This window comes from Homo sapiens, chromosome 2 (assembly GCF_000001405.40).
Source record: "Homo sapiens chromosome 2, GRCh38.p14 Primary Assembly".
NCBI classification, from domain to species: domain Eukaryota; kingdom Metazoa; phylum Chordata; class Mammalia; order Primates; family Hominidae; genus Homo; species Homo sapiens.
Window position 1 is genome coordinate 11,755,541 of NC_000002.12, and position 20,247 is coordinate 11,775,787.

The 20,247-nt window shown below is 46.4% G+C and overlaps 1 protein-coding gene and 1 non-coding gene across 15 annotated transcripts in view, besides 1 other annotated feature; both read left to right on the plus strand.

Moving 5' to 3' along the window:
- Nucleotides 1-20,247, plus strand: part of LPIN1 (lipin 1) — a 149,866-nt gene that overhangs the window by 77,997 nt on the left and 51,622 nt on the right. For 9 of the 14 annotated variants that reach the window (NR_146080.2, NM_001261428.3, NM_001349208.2 and 6 more), the window contains 4 exons: nucleotides 9,993-10,193; nucleotides 12,223-12,318; nucleotides 15,832-16,139; nucleotides 18,080-18,205. Coding sequence is in view for 13 of the 14 variants with exons in the window: in NM_001261428.3 (NP_001248357.1) it covers nucleotides 9,993-10,193; nucleotides 12,223-12,318; nucleotides 15,832-16,139; nucleotides 18,080-18,205 (731 nt within the window). In the remaining variant the exon portion in view is untranslated. Of the gene's footprint in view, nucleotides 1-206; nucleotides 325-7,482; nucleotides 7,747-9,992; nucleotides 10,194-12,222; nucleotides 12,319-15,831; nucleotides 16,140-18,079; nucleotides 18,206-20,247 lie in introns of all 14 variants that reach the window. The other 5 variants (NM_001349204.2, NM_001349202.2, NM_001349200.2 and 2 more) reach the window with 2 other exon arrangements.
- Nucleotides 4,621-5,133: an enhancer, noted in NCBI's record as "H3K27ac hESC enhancer chr2:11900287-11900799 (GRCh37/hg19 assembly coordinates)". NCBI's record gives its function as "activates a minimal SCP1, AML or CMV promoter by ChIP-STARR-seq in naive H9 embryonic stem cells {active_cell/tissue: H9 hESC(naive)}" and the evidence as "EXISTENCE:reporter gene assay evidence [ECO:0000049][PMID:30033119]".
- Nucleotides 11,904-11,985, plus strand: MIR548S (microRNA 548s). The gene has a single exon (NR_036071.1). It is a non-coding gene; the product is annotated as a microRNA 548s (primary transcript).

Below are 20,247 nucleotides of genomic sequence, written 5' to 3' on the forward strand. Positions count from 1 at the left end.
CTACTGCCCTGGATGGCTGGGCTGGAGGGCTGAGGAGAAGGTTGAGGCTGAAAGATAGAGTTGTGTGGGCATGTTTATGAAGGGGTCATATACCTGGACAGCCGGGGGAGGAAATGGAGGAGGCAGGTGGAAATCCAGATTTGAGGGGTAATTATTGTTCAACTCCTGCAAGACACTTAGTTCTTTTTTTTTTTTTTTTGAGACAGAGTCTCGCTCTGTCGCCCAAGCTGGAGTTCAGTGGCGCCGTCTCGGCTCACTGCAAGCTGCGCCTCCTGGGTTCAAGCGACTCTCCTGCCTCAGCCTCCTGAGTAGCTGGGACTACAGGTGCGTGCCACTGTGCCTGGCTTATTTTTTGTATTTTTAGTAGAGACGTGGTTTCACCGTGTTAGCCAGGATGATCTCGGTCTCCTGACCTCATGATCTGCCCGCCTTGGCCTCCCAAAGTGCTGGGATCACAGGCATAAGCCACCACGCCTGGCCACTTAGTTCTTAAAGAAAGGAGAGTAGGAAGAAAAGTACAAGTGAGAAAGATGAACAAAAACGGGGATTGTAAGAGTACATTTATTGAGACAGTTTTGCATTTGCATTTGCTCGGCCAGTCTTATATATAATTAGATGTTGCTTACCATGACATCATTTCATTTCCAAGGAGCAAACCCACAATGTGAAAATGGACCCACTGTTATGTCCCAGATAACGTGCCTTAGGTAATGTTCTAGTTGAAGGAACTAGAAAGGGAATTAAAATCATTGTTATTTACTTGCATAATAAATGAGTGGAACAGCAGATTCCTGAATTGTCCATTAAGAGGCGTGGACTAAAATAATTCAAATCCCTTTATTTATTTATTTATTTTATATTTTTTTGAGATGGAGTCTCACTCTGTCGCCCAGGCTGGAGTACAATGACGTGATCTCAGCCCATTGCAACCTCTGCCTCCTGGGTTCAAGCAATTCTCCTGCCTCAGCCTCTCGAGTAGCTGGGATTACAGGCACTCACCATCATGCTAATTTTTGTATTTCTGTAGAGATGGGGTATTTTGTAGAGAGCCTGACCATGTTGGCCAGGCTGGTCTCGAATTCCTGACCTCAGGTGATCCGCCCTCCTTGGCCTACCAAAGTGCTGGCATTATAGGCGTGAGTGCCCGGCCCCTATATTTATTTTTAATAATCGATGCTGTTCGAGTTGAGTATGCTATTTATTATTAATGTCATAGGTAGAATTCTAAGTGGAATACGCTTGTAGATTTTTATGTTCTTTGGTGTATTATCTGTTTGGTTCTAACATAAAACAGTTTCTAACCCAGAGGTATCTGGAAAGATGGTATTCCAGTGGGATGTAATAACCTCAGAAAATTTGTATTATTTCAGAAGGTCAAGCTAGACGATGTCACATTGAAAAAACTTACATGTTTCTTAACCTTAGAGCTTTTCTGAAAATCCACAGTTAGAGAAACCCAGTCTTGCCAAAGGATATTTGTAAGATTTGGCTGAGTTTTCCATCAAAAACATTTGAACTAGGGGTTGTAGAGTCCTGTTTCAAGTGGTAAATAAAATCCCGTGAGGTGAAGCTGCTATTTCTTGCCAAATTTTGAGATTAAAGTCAGTAGGTTTGAAAGGAATTTGGTATGGGGTGAGTGAATAGCAGGCATCTGAAAGCCGTTCCACTGGAAATTGAAGCCTTCCATTTGGTCCTCTGCAGGTTTTGTTTATCGTTTGTCACCCTTGAGGTAATTAAGATACTTTCTTCTTTAAAGCAGATATTCCCCTCACTGCTTGATCACGTGTTTTAGCAGACAGCAGGAAACTGACACCAAAGACAGTCATGAGATTAATGGGCAGGTATGGGGAGGTGGGTTGATTGGCTGGGTTTGTCTGACTTCTTCAGGTAAATTAGCTTCTTCCTCCAGCCTTTTACTCGAAACATAACTGAGAGTAAAATTTGGGAATTTATGCCCAGCTGGTTTATTCTTGTATTCTTTAAACATATGTGCTAGATTTATTTCAAAGAGAGCTTGGAGGAAGGGCAGAGAAAGAAGAGCCTGGCTGCCTCTAACCTGCCTGCACCCCTCCAGGCAACAGGTGCCTGGGGTGACTGGGCCCACCCCGGTCCCTTAAAGGGCATGGTCCCTCCCGTGCCTCCTGGGGGAGGGATTGCCCCCTCCACCCCAAGCTCTCTTTCAAAGAAATTGTTTAACCAAATAGTATCCTGGCTTCCTGAAATGAGTTCTGGTTAATACAATTTTCTCTCTCCCCAATTCTTAAAAAAAAAAAGTTAATTGTGATAAAATACATATAACATAAAATTTGCCATTTTAACCATCTTTAAGTGTGTGGTTCAGTGGCAAAATGGAAACCCTGTACCCATTAAACACACACTGACTCCCTATTTTCCGCTTCTCCCTAGCCCCTGGTAATCAGTCTTTCTGTTTCTATGAGTTTGTCTGTCTAAGGTAGCTCATGTAAGTAGAGTCATACAGCATTTGTCCTTTTGTGACTGGCCTATTTCATTTAGCCTACTGTCCTCAAGGTTCATCTACACAGTAGCATGTATCAGAATTTCCTTTCTTTTTAAGGCTCAGTAATAGTCCATGATATGGATGGACCGCATTTTGCTTTTCCATTCATCTGTCACACTGGAGTTGCTGCCTCCTTTTGGCTATTATGAATAATGCTGCCACGACCATGGGTGTGCCAATATCTTTTCGAGACCTGCTTTCAGTTTTTTTTTTTGATATATACCCGGGACTGGAATGGCTGGATCATAAGCTAATTTTATTTTTATTTTTTTGAGGAATTCAGACTATTTTCTGAAGTGGCTCCACATTTTACATTCCCGCCAACAGTGGACAAGAGTTCCAGTTTCTCCATATCCTTGCCAACACTTGTTATATTCTGTCTTTTTTTTTCTTAAATAGTAGCCATCTTAATAGATGTGAGGTGGTGGTATTCACCCTTTTAAAAACTTTCAGTGCTTAGTTTAAGGCAGGCCCAGGGTGTAGATGTTGAGTTCCTAGGAACAGACAAAAGACTGCCAGGTGGAGCCCATGACCCTGTCACTTGTTGAGAATTATTGAGAAGATTTCCTGCTTTCAAATCCAGGTATTTTCAGATTTGCAAAGAAGTTATTCAATAGAGGGGACAGCTAAAGATATCAAAGCACCACTAATCTAAGCTAAAGCCACAGCTGATATCAAAGCACCTTCTGATTCTTTGCGGTAGGAAAATACTCCAGACCAATCCAGTGGGAAGGTCACAGAAGAAACTGTAGTCTTGGCTCTGTCTTTGCCATGGGGGGAGCTTCGCTAAGTCACTTCCTGTTTCTGGGCTTACTTTTAAAAAATGAGGTTGTTGGAACAACAACTAAGGATCCCTTAGTTGAGAACAAGAGAGCAGAGCAACGATTCAGTTATTAAAGATGCTTCTTCAGTTGCTAAGAACTAAGGAGTGGAGCCTTTGTCTTGGAACGGATAGAGCTGGAATTAGACCTTGCAGGTCACTCAGGCCAATGCGCCCCCTTTACAGAGGAGAGGCTAGGATGCAGAGATGTGGTAATGCTATCCAGTTATGAGCTAGCTAGCTTGCTTTCTTTCTTTTCTTTCTTTCTTTCTTTCTTTCTTTCTTTCTTTCTTTCTTTCTTTCTTTCTTTCTTTTCTTTCTTTCTTTCTCATTCTTGGGTGTTTCTTGCAGAGGGGGATTTGGCAGGGTCATAGGACAACAGTGGAGGGAAGGTCAGCAGATAAACAAGTGAACAAAGGTCTCTGGTTTTCCTAGGCAGAGGACCCTGGGGCCTTCCGCAGTGTTTGTGTCCCTGGGTACTTGAGATTAGGGAGTGGTGATGACTCTTAACGAGCCTGCTGCCTTCAAGCATCTGTTTAACAAAGCACATCTTGCACCGCCCTTAATCCATTTAACCCTGAGTGGACACAGCACATGTTTCATGGAGCACCGGGTTGGGGGTAAGGTCATAGATCAACAGCATCCCAAGGCAGAAGAATTTTTCTTAGTACAGAACAAAATGGAGTCTCCTATGTCTACTTCTTTCTACACAGACACAGCAACCATCTGATTTCTCTATCTTTTCCCCACATTTCCCCCTTTTCTATTCGACAAAACCGCCATTGTCATCATGGCCCGTTCTCAATGAGCTGTTGGGTACACCTCCCAGACGGGGTGGCGGCCGGGCAGAGGGGCTCCTCACTTCCCAGAAGGGGCGGCTGGGCAGAGGCGCCCCCCACCTCCCTCCCGGACGGGGCGGCTGGCCGGGCGGGGGCTGACCCCCCACCTCCCTCCCGGACGGGGCGGCTGGCCGGGCGGGGGCTGCCCCCCACCTCCCTCCCGGACGGGGTGGCTGCCGGGCGGAGACGCTCCTCACTTCCCAGACGGGGCGGCTGCCGGGCGGAGGGGCTCCTCACTTCTCAGACGGGGTGGCTGCCGGGCGGAGGGGCTCCTCACTTCTCAGACGGGGCGGCCGGGCAGAGACGCTCCTCACCTCCCAGACGGGGTCGCGGCCGGGCAGAGGCGCTCCTCACATCCCAGACGGGGCGGCGGGGCAGAGGCGCTCCCCACATCTCAGACGATGGGCGGCCGGGCAGAGATGCTCCTCACTTCCTAGACGGGATGGCGGCCGGGAAGAGGCACTCCTCACTTCCCAGACTGGGGGCAGCCGGGCAGAGGGGCTCCTCACATCCCAGACGATGGGCGGCCAGGCAGAGATGCTCCTCACTTCCCAGATGGGGTGGCAGCCGGGCAGAGGCTGCAATCTCGGCACTTTGGGAGGCCAAGGCAGGCGGCTGGGAGGTGGAGGTTGTAGCGAGCCGAGATCACGTCACTGCACTCCAGCCTGGGCAACATTGAGCACTGAGTGAACGAGACTCCATCTGCAATCCCGGCACCTCAGGAGGCCGAGGCTGGCAGATCACTCCCGATTAGGAGCTGGAGACCAGCCCGGCCAACACAGTGAAACCCCGTCTCCACCAAAAAATACGAAAACCAGTCAGGCGTGGCGGCGCACGCCTGCAATCGCAGGCACTCGGCAGGTTGAGGCAGGAGAATCAGGCAGGGAGGTTGCAGTGAGCCGAGATGGCGGCAGTGCAGTCCAGCTTCGGCTCGGCATCAGAGGGAGACCGTGGAAAGAGGGACAGGGAGACGGTGGGGAGAGGGAGACCATGGGGAGGGGGAGGGGGAGGTTTCTGTTAATGCTGCCCTTATGTCTCTCGCTTTCTTTTTCTTGTGAGTAAAAAAATACCAACAGTAGTTCGTAGATGTGCTGGCCTGGGGTTGGGGCCTCACTGCTGGGGAGGTGGTCTCATCATTCGGTGACAAACATAGCTCACGTGCAAGGGTGATGAAGGCAAAGAGATGGGGGGGACATGAGAAGGAGCTTCACAGAACCGAAAGAGAGGTCACTTCAAAATCCAAAGACCTGGGTTCCAGTTTGGTGAAATGGGGCGTGTCAATCCAGAGAGCCCCTCTTCACCAGCCCTGTGATCTTCATTGCACTTTGGCTGTCTTCTGGTTTTACCATCTGAAAGGCTGCATTCCTACAGGGTTTTGTGACAGTCAGCATGAGATAACGTATATGAAAGAAATTGTACAAAGATGTTATTAATACTGCTTGCACGTAGTTTTAGAGTTAGAGGGTTACCTCTCTTACCAAACACACGTTAAAATCTAAGTTCAACGTGGAAGGAATAAGAAGTATTAGGGTTACAAAGAATCATTTCTTATATTGTACATCTTTTCAGGAACCATCCCACTGCACCTTTTTTGCATGAAGTTAAACCTGCACCACTTGTAAACTTAGAAAAATGTGTGTTTTGATGTTTATATATATGTGATGTATTAGCAGGACAGATCAAGGGGGAGCTGGGCTCTGGTGTTTACTCCCAGGTGAAAAGGAAGGCAGATGTGTGTTCCTCCTTGAGTGTGTTTACTAAGGGCTGGGCTTGTTTCCTCGGTTGAGAGAGGAGGTGTATCAGTACAGAGAGCTTCATTTAAAATTGTAAAATGAACCTGGGAGGGCTTCTTGCATTCTTTGTAGGTATCATTCATGACTTCTGGTTCTCTGGCCTGTTCTAAATTAGAATTAAATCCGCAGTTCTTACCAGCCCCTGCATGCAGGGGATTTGACCACTCTTGAGCCTCATTTGCAAATGGGTGTGCTGATCTCACTTTTGCTTATTTCATAGGGGTTGAGGTAAGATTTACAAAAGGTATATTTTGTTTTTTTAACTTGAAAGACCAAGGCTTTATCCTTGGCCTTAAGAATGTAGCTTATAAAAGAACAAACAAACCATACAATTTCCTCTACTCTCATACACGCTTCTGACACCAAACGTGTGTGTGTCTCTTGCACGCCAAGCAGTTCTCCAGCTCTCGGAGCACACCAACTGGGTGCCTATAATTCAATTCAATTCTGACACCATCTACCTGGAGTTAGTATCAGATTCCACAGGTTAAGGGCTCGTTCCCACAAGCTGTCCCTCACTTCAGATGCCAGTCACAGTCTGGGCCTCCTGTGCTTCTGCTTGACTGGCTATAAATCGGGGGTTCCCATGACCCCCTCCTCGCGTTCATTCCTTTGTGGATCGGCTCACGGAACTCAGGGAAACAGTTTACTGATTGTCACTGGTTTATTATAAAGGATGCAACTCCGGAGTAGCCAGATGGAAGGGTGCACAGGGCAAGGCGGTGGAGGCGGCGGTGGTGCTTCCATGCCCTCTCTAGCACCCCAGCCTCCCAGCACTGCCACGCGTTCACCAACCTGGAAGTTCTCTGAGCCCCTTTCTTTCGGGTTCTATGGAGGCTTTATTACAAAGGCGAGATTGATTAACTCATCGGCCATTGATTACACTTAATCTCCCTCCCCTCTCCCTCCCTGGAGGTTGGGGGTGGGGTGGTGGGTGGGTGGGGAGTGGCTGAAGGCACCAACTCTCATTACAGATTTGTTCCTCTGGCAGCTGTGGTCCAGCCCCCATCCTCCGAGAGTCCTCTGATTAAACTTTGGTGTGGGTGAAGAGGGCTTATCATGAATGACAGAAGACACTCCTTTCACCTTTATTGCTCTGGAGCTAAGGAGCTATTTCAGGAGCAGGGGAGGAAAATGAAATATCATAACAAAAGACATTCCTATCACTCTGATCACTTAGAAATTATAAGGGGTTTAGGAGTTCTGGCTTGGATCTGGGGATGAAGACCAAAATATATATTTCCTATTACATCATAATATCACAGCGCCACTGAATGATAGGAAAAGCTCCCAGAACCAACCTTTCTACACAGCAGGTTTGTGAGCCACAGGTTCACACACGTGGTGTTTCCTGGAGTCTGTAGGTGACCTGAGGTGGGGGTTTTGTCAGTGTGGTCACATGTGTCCTGGGATAGTTGCCTTGAAGAATGGGAGCAGTGTGGACCAGGAGGAGGGGTGAAGTCTCGGGGTGGACTGGAAGTTACGTCATGCAAATCCTTCCTGTTTGGGCAGTATTTGCAACCACGTGGCTTCACGAGTCCGCCAAACCATCAGGTGAATAAACGGGAGAGGAGAAGAGAGTCTAGGACTCAGCCCTGGAGTATAAGTCAGAGCTGGAAAAGAAGAGGCTCCAGAGACTGGACGGCCACTGAGAGGTGCCACGTCCCTGAAGGGCCTGAGGAGGGTTGATGGCATGACCCCATGAAGCCCAGCAAGGAGTGGAGAGAGGAGGGCTGGAGGACTCCCGCCTGCCATGACCCAGTCCAGGGATAAGATGTGAGTGCCATGGGCCAGTCACGACCGCCGGTTAGCACAGCAGGGCACAGTGACGGCAGAAGGCTGGGAGCGGAGAGCCGGGCAGAGTGGACAGTGATGTGGGCAGGTGTGGACTGCACCAGGTGGTCAGGGATCCAGAGCTACGAAAAGAAGGGCATAACACGGCGGCAGCTCGCAGTCCAGCTGCTTGAACCCAGAATATCTCTTGGCCTGTCCCTTTCCCTCTTTTTCGTCTGTCCCTACCTCCTTTCCAGGCGGGGAAGGAATCGTTTCTCTCCTAGTCTTCCTGCCGTCAGGTTTTTTTCTTGCCAGTCTTTACATTGTTACGGTGATGCTTTTTCTAAATCTTGGATCAAAGTGTCATTTTGTTCCAGAATCCGATGGCTTCACACAGCAGAGCCCGCATCTCCTGGCACGGTTTCGCACTCTCCATTCTTCCCTAGTGCACATTCTGTGTTCTGGGTGCAGCTCCCTCTTCCAGTCTGGTGGTTTTAAGCTTCCATGCTTCTGCATGGACCTCTCGTTGTACCCTGTCCACCTTGTCGTCTGACATCTGAGGGTGTCCCTGTCCTCCAAGCCCGCCTCCAGCGCCAGCTCCTCTGATGCACCTTCTTTCCTTGATCATAACTCCCTTAGTGTTTACTTAAAACAAATTCGGTGACACTGACATATATTTTAGTGTGTGTGTGTGTGTGTGTGTGTATATATATATATATATATTTGGAGATAGGGTCTTTTGTCCAGCCAGAGCAAGATCCTATCTTCAAATGTGTGTGTGTGTGTGTGTGTGTGTATATATATATATATATATATATATACACACACACACACACAACGACTAAAATATATGTAAGTGTTGCTGACATGCATTTATATATGTCATATATATGGTCTTGCGCTCCGTGGCTGGAGTGCAGTGGCACGATCTCAGCTCACTGCAGCCTCCACCTCCTGGGTTCAAGTGATCTTCCCACCTCAGCCTCCCAAGTAGCTGGGACTACAGGTATGTACCACCACGCACAGCTAATTTTTGTGTTTTTAGTAGAGATGGGATTATGCCGTGTTGTTCAGGCTGATCTCGAACTCCTGGGCTCAAGCCATGCACCTGTCTCATTCTCCCAAAGTGCTGGGATTATAGGCATGAGCTACTATGCCCCGCTAGTTCCTTGTATATTACCTGTGTTTCCTTCACGAGCCTGTGAGTCTCTCCAGGGGACAGGACTTTCTTCTTTATCTCTGGTGTGGCCCCAGGCCCTGTAGAGGAGAGATGGCCTGAATGTTTGCTAAGTGGATTGCAGTTGACAGCTGGCCAGCAGCCCAGAGCGCTGGTGTTCCCTGGAGCAGTGGAGAGAAGTCAGACAGGCAGGCAAAGGCCACATGGAAATTGTCACAAACAAAAATCATTCATTTCCCTTCTCCAGTAAAAGCAGTCATTTGTTTTTCAACTAATATCAAGTAGCTACTATGATTGGCACGATGGGGGATCCTACGCTGTATGAAATAGTCTCTTTCCTCTACAGTCTTGAGATTTAGTGTGCAAAACCTGTCCATCATGACAGAAGAAGGGGCAGGTGGCAGTGGTCCTAAGGACAATATAAAAAAGCTTCATGGGACTGCAGAGGAGACAGGGCCTGGGGACAACTGAGATTAGACATCATGGGGTCAAGGCTCTCTGTGCTGGACTCTGGGAGAGTGGAGACTGGTGGGCTTGCTGTGGGAGTTGGGGTGATAGGCCGTGATGGGCCATGATGGGCTGTGATGGATCCTGATGGGCCGTGATGGGCTGTGATGGACCCTGGTGGGCTCTGATGGTCCATGATGGGCCATGGTGGACACTGATGGGCCGTAATGGGCCATGATGGACCGTGATGGGCCGTAACGGGCCGTGATGGACCCTGATGGGCTGTGATGGTCCGTGATGGGCCATGATGGACACTGATGGGCCATGATGGGCCCTGATGGACCCTGATGGACCCTGATGGGCCGTGATGGACCCTGATGGGCTGTGATGGGCCGTGATGGACCCTGATGGGCCATGATGGACACTGATGGGCCGTGATGGGCCCTGATGGGCCCTGATGGACCCTGATGGGCTATGGGGGTGGATAGAACACATTCCGGAAATGAGAGGAGCTGAAAGTTGAGTGTGTAATCCACGTTTTTGAAATGGTGAGGAGTTCATTTTGATTGGCTCTTCCTTGGATTAATTGTGTGTCTGTGTGTGTTTTTTTTTGTCTGTTTTCCAGGTGCAGACCATGAATTACGTGGGGCAGTTAGCCGGCCAGGTGTTTGTCACCGTGAAGGAGCTCTACAAGGGGCTGAATCCCGCCACACTCTCAGGGTGCATTGACATCATTGTCATCCGCCAGCCCAATGGAAACCTCCAATGCTCCCCTTTCCACGTCCGCTTTGGGAAGATGGGGGTCCTGCGCTCCCGAGAGAAAGTGGTGAGCTCTCAGGGCACGGGGACCTGGCACCGGCTCTCCTTAGAGAATGCCCTTGTACTCTGGTGATGCCACCTGTCTTGAACTCTCAGACCCAGAGTTTTAGGTCTTCGTTGGAAATGGCCAGTCACGGAACTGACAGTGACTAATTGAAATTATTCTAGTTAGTATGGCTGTGTAAATTAAAGTGCCGTGGCACACACCACTGTTTATTAAGCTCCTGTATCTGTGGGTCAGGAATTTAGGCAGAGCACAGTGGGGTGGTTTGTCTCTGCTCTCTGGGGCCTCAGCTGGAAAGCTCAAAGGCTGAGGGCTGGAATCATCTGAACACTCACGTTCTTTGTGACTGGTGGTTGATTCTGGCTCTTGGCTGGGCTCTTCGCTGAGGCTTTGGTCATACCAACTACCCATGGCCTCTCCACGTGGCCAGGGCACCCCACAACACAGTGGCAGTGGTGAGGTGAGCATCTTGAGAGGGAGGAAGACAGGCAGATGCTGGAGCTTATGGCCTAGCCTTGCAAGCCACATGGCGTCACGTCTGCTGTGCTCTACTGGTTGGGGCCATCACAAGCTGCCTGGGCTCAAGGGGAGGAGAAATAGGCTTTTCTTGGTGGTGTCAATGGAAGAAGGATAAAGTTCATAAATTTGGAGAGGAGAACTAGGTTGCTGCCTGCAGGGTGGCCAATTCTGACAGGCTGGGAAGTGTAGCCTCCTGCCAGAAGCAGAAACAGACACTTTGAGGAAGGGGCAAAGAGACCAGGGATTTGTGCTGTCTGGGGTCACAGAATCTACATATTTAATAAGCCACAGGAGAGGTCGTGAGTGTTCAGGAGAGGAAAACATGCACACGTGCAACTGAGCTTCTGCCTGTCCATGGGACCCATGTTCAAAACGTGATGGCACTAGCACCAGCCAAGGGTGGAGTTTTCTGGTGTCTAACATCAAAGGGTGGAGCAGAGGAAGGGAAAACCCTCAGGGCACATTCTCCCTAGGTGGGCCAGGACCAGTTCCTGGGCTCTTATCAGGCAAAAAACAAACACAAACAAACAAACAAACAAACAAACAAAAACGCAGAGCAGCTTCTTTTGTTGATACCAGTGCACAGTCTTTTGAAAGGGCTGGTTTCTGTTTGGCCCTTAGGGAGGAAAGCGTAATGGTGGTTACTGAGGTGGGGTATGAGGAAGCCTGTCCTATCTCCCATTCCATCATGGCCTGGAACTCAGTTCTTAAGGTTTCTCTGGCATCTCCTTGTCCCAGAGGGGGTCCGTTCAGTCAGTTGCGAGCTTAGAATTTTATTTCTAGTTTATTTTCAGGAGTGGCGAAGGTTCTGGAAGAGCAGGTAGGACCAGGATATTGATGTGGCTAGTTTTAGAAGACAATCTGCCACACAAATGGAAAGAAACAAATCCTTGCAAATAGACATTTCATGCCCCCACCTAATGTGGATTTTGGGATGATGTCTCCTGATTGGTCCTTTGAGTTAAGTTCAAGAGGAAACTCTTCCTTGAGTATGTGTGAAGGATCCCAGCCAATAGTTGATGAGTTTTCCAGGGTGTAATTTCTAATGTCTGGGGCTGGGGAAGCTTTGATTGCAGCTTGAACTCTCACCAGCCATGTGACCCTGGGCTGGTTACTCCTCTTGTCTGGCCTCAGCTCCTCAGCCAAAAAAGGAGGAGCTAGACCAGGTGGTCTCGGAGGAATCTTTCTATTAGCTTGCTGCAAAAATAATTGCAGTTTTTGCCATTATTTTTAATAATTATAATAATGGCCAAAACTGCAGTTATTTTTGCACCAACGTACTGTTTTGGGTTCCATCTTTCCTGGTCAGGGACCTGCCCTCCCGAACCCAGAACTCCTCCAGTCCTCAAGTGACAGTTCCCTTGGATGGGACGGCCTGACTGAGACTGGGAGTTGTGTGGCACTTCAGGGTGTATGCGATGATAGCGTATCTGTGGAGACTTGGCCGTCCCCATGAGGTCTCCTGTCCTGGTGAAGGCAGTTCATTCTTTTCTTAACCATGTTTTCCCTTCAGGTTGACATAGAAATCAATGGGGAATCTGTGGATTTGCATATGAAATTGGGAGATAATGGAGAAGCATTTTTTGTTCAAGAAACAGATAATGATCAGGTAAGGAAGCCTGGGTGGTCAGGGTTACTTCCTAGTTTTGAGCTTTGAGTAATGGTTATCTGGAAACACGGCAGAAGTTTGTGCAAAGTAATACCGGCCGTGGCTGTGTGGACGATGGGGCAGAGAAAAGTGGGCGTTGATCTGTGTGGGGGATTTGAGCCAGACGGCCTAGGGGTGTGCTGAGTCCACACAGACTCAGCTCTCCTGGCTGGCTTCAGTTTGCTGACTGCTTCCCAGGAGACAGAGGGATGGACTTCACACATGGGCCTGGACCACTGTCAGAGGTGTATAGATTACATCGGTGTGTCAAATCTCAAATGCCCAATGTTCTTTTATTTAGTGAGTGGCTGAATTACTTTAAAAAATATTTTAAAAGCTTTATTGAGATATACATCACATATACACAATTTACCCATTTCAAGTGTACACGTAGTGGTTTTAGTATATTTACAGATAGGTGCAACTATCACCACAGTCAAATTTAGAACCTTTTCATCAACCCCAAAAGAAACACCATACCCTTTAGGTATCGCCTCCCCTATACTCCACCTTCCAACTGCTGAGCCCTAAGTTACCACTAACCTTCCTATCTCTATAGATTTCCTTATTCTGAACTTTTGAATGGAATTACAGTATCTGGTCTTTTGTGCCTGTTTTTTTTTGACTAATGTTTCAAGGTTCATCCAGGTTTTAGTATGTATCAATATTTTATTCCTTTTTATGGCCGAATAGTATTCCATTGTATCTATAGACCATGTCCATTCATCTGTTCTATTCATCATTACAAACAACTTGGGGCTGGGCATGGTGGCTCACGCCTGTAATCCCAGCACTTTGGGAGGTCGAGGTGGGCGGATCACGAGGTCAGGAGATAGAGACCATCCTGGCTAAGACGGTGAAACCCCATCCCTACTAAAAATACAAAAAATTAGCTGGGCGTGGTGGCGGGTGCCTGTAGTCCCAGCTACTCCGGAGACTGAGGCAGGAGAATGGCGTGAACCCGGGAGGCGGAGCTTGCAGTGAGCCGAGATCGCGCCACTGCACTCCAGCCTGGGTGTCAGAGCGAGGCTCTGTCTCAAAAAACAAAAAAAAAGAAACCAAAAAAACCCAAAAAAAACCAACTTGGGTTGTTTCCACCTTGTAGCCGTTGTAAACAACATGGCTGTGAACATTTGTATACAAGTTTTTGTGTGGACACGTGTGTTTGATTTTTCTTGGTTACATACCTAGGAATGGCATTGCTGGGCCATGTGGTAACTTTACATTTAACATTTGAGGAACTGCCAGACTGTGTTACAAAGCAGCTGTTCCATTTTATATTCCTGCCAGCAGTGCACAAAGAGTTGTGATTTGTCTACATCTTTGCCAATACTTTTCTGATTTTGTGATTCTAGTCATTCTAGTGGGTGTGAAGTGGTATCTCTTTATGGTTATGATTTGCATTTTCCTAATAACCAGCGGTATCTGACATCTTTTTATGTGCTTATTGGCCATTTCTGAATCTTTGGAGAAATGTCTATTCAGATCCTTTGCTAGTTTGTGTGTGTGTGTGTATGTGTGTGTTGTTTTTCTTTTTTACTGCTGCCTTGTATGCCTTCATTATATATTCTAGATACAAGTCCCTTATCGGGTATATGATTTGTAAATATTTTCTCCCATTGGGTGGGTTCTCTTTTCACTTTCTTGATGGTGTTCTTTGCAGCACAATAGTTTTTAGTTTTAATGAAGTCTAATTTTTTTTTTTAAAGTTTGTGTTTACCTTTTTAATGTATTCTGTTTTTTCTTTTGTTGTGCATGCTTTTGGTGTCATATGCATAAAGAGTCCTTTGCCAAATCCAAGGTCATGATTTATGGTTATGTTTTCTACTAAGACAGACCACTTCCTTAACTCTTTTGTTCACAGATGAAGCACCTTAAAGGGGTCTGATGTAGGGATTCCTGAATGAAATCGACTTGAACTAGTTCCTTTCCAGGAAGACAGCTATGATTAAAAAGGAACGGTTCTTTATAGCTCCAGGTTTTAAAGCAAGTGTCCATAATTGCAGCTTCGGGACAGAACAGTCCCAGGCACAGCCTCCATCCTGCCCGCCCAGAATGGTGGTGCCTGGGGAGGACCCAGCATCTCCCCTTCCATGTTCTGGAGCAACCCTGTTGATACTGGGGATCCCTGCATACCTGCTCTTCACTTCTCTTAGATGGGAAGACTCCAAAAATACTAATTGGTTCCTAATGGCCTTTGACAGAAACTCTTTGCACTGCATGTGGACACCTGCATTTTTAATTTCTATTTGTACCTGGCTTTAGATAGATTTTTGGCCATCGGAGCTGAGGAAGCATTTTGGGCCAGCGTGCAGCGGGACCTGTATGGGGGCTGCTTGCTGGTCTTGCTGGCCTGACAGGGTGCCTGTGGGTGGGGTGGGGCCTTGGAGGCCAGAGTATGTTCAGCTCCATACAGATGCCTCTTAGGACCCCTGGGATGCTGCTGGAAGCTGGAGAGCCCGTGTCCTTCAGCACTGCTTGGTACTGCATGTGCCTGTGGGGGTCTGCCTGGCTGCCCATTCCCTTCCAGCCCACGGACAGCAAAGGGCCCTTCTCTGCTCTTGATCTGAGAATCTGTGCTGCTTCTCTAGTTGCTCCAGTCCAGCAGCCGGGTGAGATGACCTCTCACTCCCTTCCAGCCTCAGCTGTGTGTCTCAGGTGTAGACATTCTATTTCAGCATGTCTGATGCTCTCCAAACCTATTTGAATGATCAGCAGCACACGTTTATTTATCCCCTCTGTTTTATGTATATTCTTATTGTCAACGAGTTTCTCATACAAAATGAGGCATTCATTAATAAAATGATTACTAGAGTTTTATAAAAACTGCTGAATCATTACAAACAACTACTAAATGGACAGGTTGTGTTTTTTCCTTTTGTCTTTAAGGAGAGGATCAGTATCTACTTCCTCGATGTTCAGGGCCCTCCTTGGGCCCTGGTGCAGGCAGGTTCTTGGGCGGGGCTATCGGTTGTTTTACGTGTTTTTGGTTTTTAGATGGTTATTATCTTAATTCATTGCATATAAAAAATACACAATACACATTCTCTGTCTTTCTCTCACACCCACCCATGCACACCCACATCTACACAGAAGTGCAAGAGTGCATCCAATTCCCAGCATAATATGGTGAGTCAAAGCCCATTTTTTTCCTCTGTGCTCTGGGTATTACAGCCAAAGTTGAATTTTGGGGGCTTGAGATCACTGAGAATTACCTCCCATTGTTAAAATTACATAAATGCAGGATTGAGTACAAAGTGGCATTCAATACATTGTTGGCTTTCTGATCTTCTACCAGATTGGGCAGCCACATCTCCAGGTCACCATGGCTGTGGCCTCTAGCTGGGCCATCTGCTGTGGCCCTCCCCAGGAGGTGCTTGGCCTCTGAAGTGAATCCTGGAGGCCTCTGGCAAGGCCCTGCTTCTTATACCTGAATTAACGAGGCTCTTTTTAGAAAATGTGTTCTTTTCTTAGGAAGTTATCCCTATGCACCTGGCCACCTCCCCCATCCTGTCAGAAGGAGCTTCGAGAATGGAATGCCAGCTGAAAAGGGGCTCTGTGGACAGGATGAGAGGCCTGGACCCCAGCACGCCAGCCCAAGTGATCGCTCCCAGCGAGACGCCGTCAAGCAGCTCTGTAGTAAAGAAGAGAAGAAAAAGGAGGAGAAAGTCACAGCTGGACAGCCTGAAGAGAGATGACAACATGAACACATCTGAGGATGAGGACATGTTCCCCATCGAGATGAGCTCGGATGAGGCCATGGAGCTGCTGGAGAGCAGCAGGTAATAACTGTCCAGGGTGGAGGGGCTGTGCCAGAATCAGACAGTTAACTGTTCAAGATTATTTTTATGAACTTTTCCCCCATAATTCCTTATTCTTTTATGTGTTTTAGACCAGTGGTCCCCAACCTTTTTGGCACTAGGGACCAGTTTTGTGGAAGACAGTGTTTCCATGGACCAGGGGTGGATGGTTTTAGGAGGACTCAAGCATATTACATTTATTGTGCTCTTTATTTCCATTACTATTACATTGTAATATATAATGAAATACTTATACAACTCGCCATCATGTAGAATCAGTGGGAGCCCTGAGCTTGTTTTCCTGCAACTAGACGGTCCCATCTTGGGGGTGATGGGTGACAGATCATCAGGCATTAGATTCTCACAAGGAGTGCGCAGCCCAGATCCCTCACATGTGCAGTTCACAACAGGGTTCGTGCTCCTGTGAGAATCTGATGCTGCCACTCATCTGGCAGGAGGAGGAGCTTAGGTGGTAATGTGAGGGATGGGGAGCGACTGCAAACACAGATGAAGCTTTGCCAGCTTGCCCGCCGCTCACCTCCTGCCATGTGGCCCAGTTTCTAACAGGGGCATGGACCCCAGGGGTTGGGGACCCCTATTTTAGGCTGAATTTTGGAATCATGTGGACCCAATCCTAGAGTGGTATAAAGATTTGCTGTGCTGTAGCCAAGAGACAGTTGGTGATGCCAAACCTCCTTGGCTGATCGCTTTAGCAGCCTGGAATGGAGTCAAGAAACAGGAACTGAGCAAATTAATAGTTCATGACCAAACCCATTTTCTTGGAACCTATTTATTCTTATTTGAGCACCAACGATGCACAACTGGGCTGATTTATAGGCAAGGGCTGATTTCAGGCTTAAAAGTGAATGAAGAAAATGCTGTTTTCTCTATAAGCCAACTTTTTCCTTTTTAATTTTGACTTAGGTCCAAAGTTTAATGGAAATTTTGTTTCCTTTTTCTTTGCTTTTAACAGTGTGGTGAAATTCTGTTTGTATGTATTACTATTTTGGTGAAAAATGCCAGTTTTAAAAGATAAAATTCATTTTGAAGGATATTTGATGTTTCAGATTTTTACATAATTCGGTATAATTTTTGATAATTTTGTTAACATAAAGAAGGGATAAGGGGAATCAGGAGTATCTTCCTGTGTCATTATTTGGAATAAAATATATCTTTTTTCGTGGTGAAAAATAAATGTCAACTGGCAACGAATATTGCTTTTCCCAACTACAGCCTCTATCTAACCTGTGACAGGCTTAGAACCAGCGTCATTGGGCTTCTTATAATTGCCTTCTCTGCATGGCTGTTAAGTACAAAATTTAGTGGTAGGTGTTCCAGGTAACATCAACATATAGACAGATGGCCTCTGCATGATTGAAATTGTGAATTGTATTTAGTAGTGAGTGTGCTTATACCTGAAACGAGGTCATTTGCAGTTATTCTGTAATCGTAAGGCATGTTTGGTTGATGCCATTTATTTCTTCTGCTAGACAAAATGTGATCAGCGTATGGTCATTGAGTTATTCAGCAGTTCTGCCTGTACCTGGCAGGGGTTTTATACCGCCCTGGGGCCGGTTTGGGGCCACTCTACCTCCCAGGCTTTTGGAACATGACCGTGTAGGGTAGCAGGAGGTGGCACGATGGGAGGATCCAGCAGTGTGATCACTGCATGTGTGTCTGAGTCCAAATGCTGAAACAAAATCATTTTACAATTAGAATTCGGCCAAAGCATTAGCACATAGACACGTTTATGGATGCCGGTATCTCACTTTTTCCCCCTCCACTGCCTGGAACAGATCTGGGTGTTTAAAGAGATCATGTTAATTACAAAGCACTTAGAGCTAATCAAGAAAAAATTGGAACTTGATTATGAATCTATCATTAAGAATTCTTTGACTTTAATCTTTTTTTTTTTCCTCCAGAACTCTTCCTAATGATATACCTCCATTCCAAGATGATATTCCTGAGGAAAACCTCTCCCTGGCTGTGATTTACCCTCAGTCAGCCTCATACCCTAATTCGGATAGAGAGTGGTCACCCACTCCCAGGTAAGCTGTTCCCTGTTCCCCTGGCCCAGTGCAGAGGCTTAGAAGTCAGTGATAGGAAGCAATTCTAAGAAAAGAATGAAATAGAAATGAAAAGTGAAAATAATTAGGACCAGGAAAAACACGGTGTAGAGTCGGAGGTACAGATTAGGATCAAACACAGAACATGTTCAGATCATACACTTATATCTGGTGTCAGAATCCATCTGCAGATATGGCTGTTAGCTCCCTGGAGGTGAACTTGAAAGGAAAAACATGTAAATTACATCATGCTAATTGTTAATAGGAGAAAACACAGTGGCAGAGCCTTTCTTGATACTTAGCCCTAAGTAAAATTCAAAAACAGACGTTGCTTCAGGAGCTGCTGAGGTCGTTCAGGGCTATTAGAATGGTGCCTCCGCCACACTTAATCCATTCTGCCGAATTCAAGAATATTTATTTCCCTGAAATGAACTCACAAGTTGCCCTAGAGGAAAACTTGGAGAACTAGAGCTGCTCACTGTGCAGATGCCATCCTGATGACCCCAGAGATGTTTACATCAGTGAAACCTCTGGGAATAGTGAGCCCCCTGGCTAGTTTTCAAAGGACTTGGGGAAGAGGGTAGAGCTAAATCCTGTGTTCTCAACACAGGAAATAATATAACCCCCATTGGGATGAAAATTCATTCTTGGGTGGTGACAAAATCTTAGACGTTATAATGGTTTGTGGTCTCTAAGGGGCCACAGCATTAAAATCTCATGGTGGGTGGAGTTGGGCTATTAATTTCTCAGAATGCTCAGGGGCATGTTGATAATGAAAAAGAGACTGAGAAACGCTGATCTAAATGCCAGTGACATCCTTGGGTTATTCGTATACCTCATGCTTTAGATTCGCTTCTGGTTCATGGTGCCAGCCCTTAGAAACTCTGGGTTCCTACCTGAAGCCGGTCTTATCAAAACGCCACCCCTGGTTCCAGTTTGATCAGGGTAACCTTGTGAATTAGCAAGCAGCAGTCCCCAGTGTGTGCTGACATGGAGGTTGGAGAGAAAATAGATATGTCCCATGCCTGGTTTCCAGCCAATACTGATGTCGCGGGTTAGTCCAGCAGGCTGAGGCTGAGGCCTGTGACAAAGTCCCTGCATGGAGGTCTTCCTGCGTCAGAGCCTAGCCCTGTTCAATAGAAACGTAATAACTAGCTCCATATGTAATTTTAAGATTTCCAGTAGCCCTATTTTTAAAAAGTAAAAAAAAAAAAAAAAGATGAAATTAATTTTAAAGCTATATTTCATTTGACCACAGTATTTCCAAAATATCATTTCAACAAGCAATCAATTTTAAAGAATTATTAATGAGATACATCACATTTCTGTTTACATACCAAGTCTTTATAAACTCCATTATGTATTTCACATGCGCAGAACATCCCAATTTGGACAAGCCACGTTTCAAGTGCTCAGGAGCCACCTGTAGCTGGTGGTTTATTATATTGGACAGTGCAGATATAAGACCTTTCTAGATTCTCATTCTTTCTCTAGGTCTGTGGAGATAAAATAGTGGAGGGAAAAATAGTGGTTTAGGAGGAAAATAATGTAGAATATTTAGAACCCAATAATAGATGAAAAAATCTGTTCAAGCACTGTATGTTAATTTTAAGGATTTAAAAGAAACACTTTAAACACAACTCTGAGCGTGTTTAATGCTCAAAACATCTGTAATGTTTTGCCTCATGAATGCAGCATAATGACTGAGTCAGGTTATGTAGCTCTGACTATCACCAAATGGAATGACAAATTAGGATAAATAGCTACATTTCCACATTTGGAATTAGGTATTTTCTGTAAAGAGACAATTGACAGCACACACGAGCACATTTTTGGATTATGTAGTTTGATTAAGCACGAAAGTGTGACCAGAGATGATCAGTTCTACACATGGGTGAAACAGAAAGTGAAATAGGTCATTTGGCAGTTTCCTGCTTTTGTGTCTCAGAAAATTCATGCTGATTTCTTAGCAATTTCAATATCCGGTGCTCTGCCATTATCAGATGTCTGAGTTTCTTTATTTT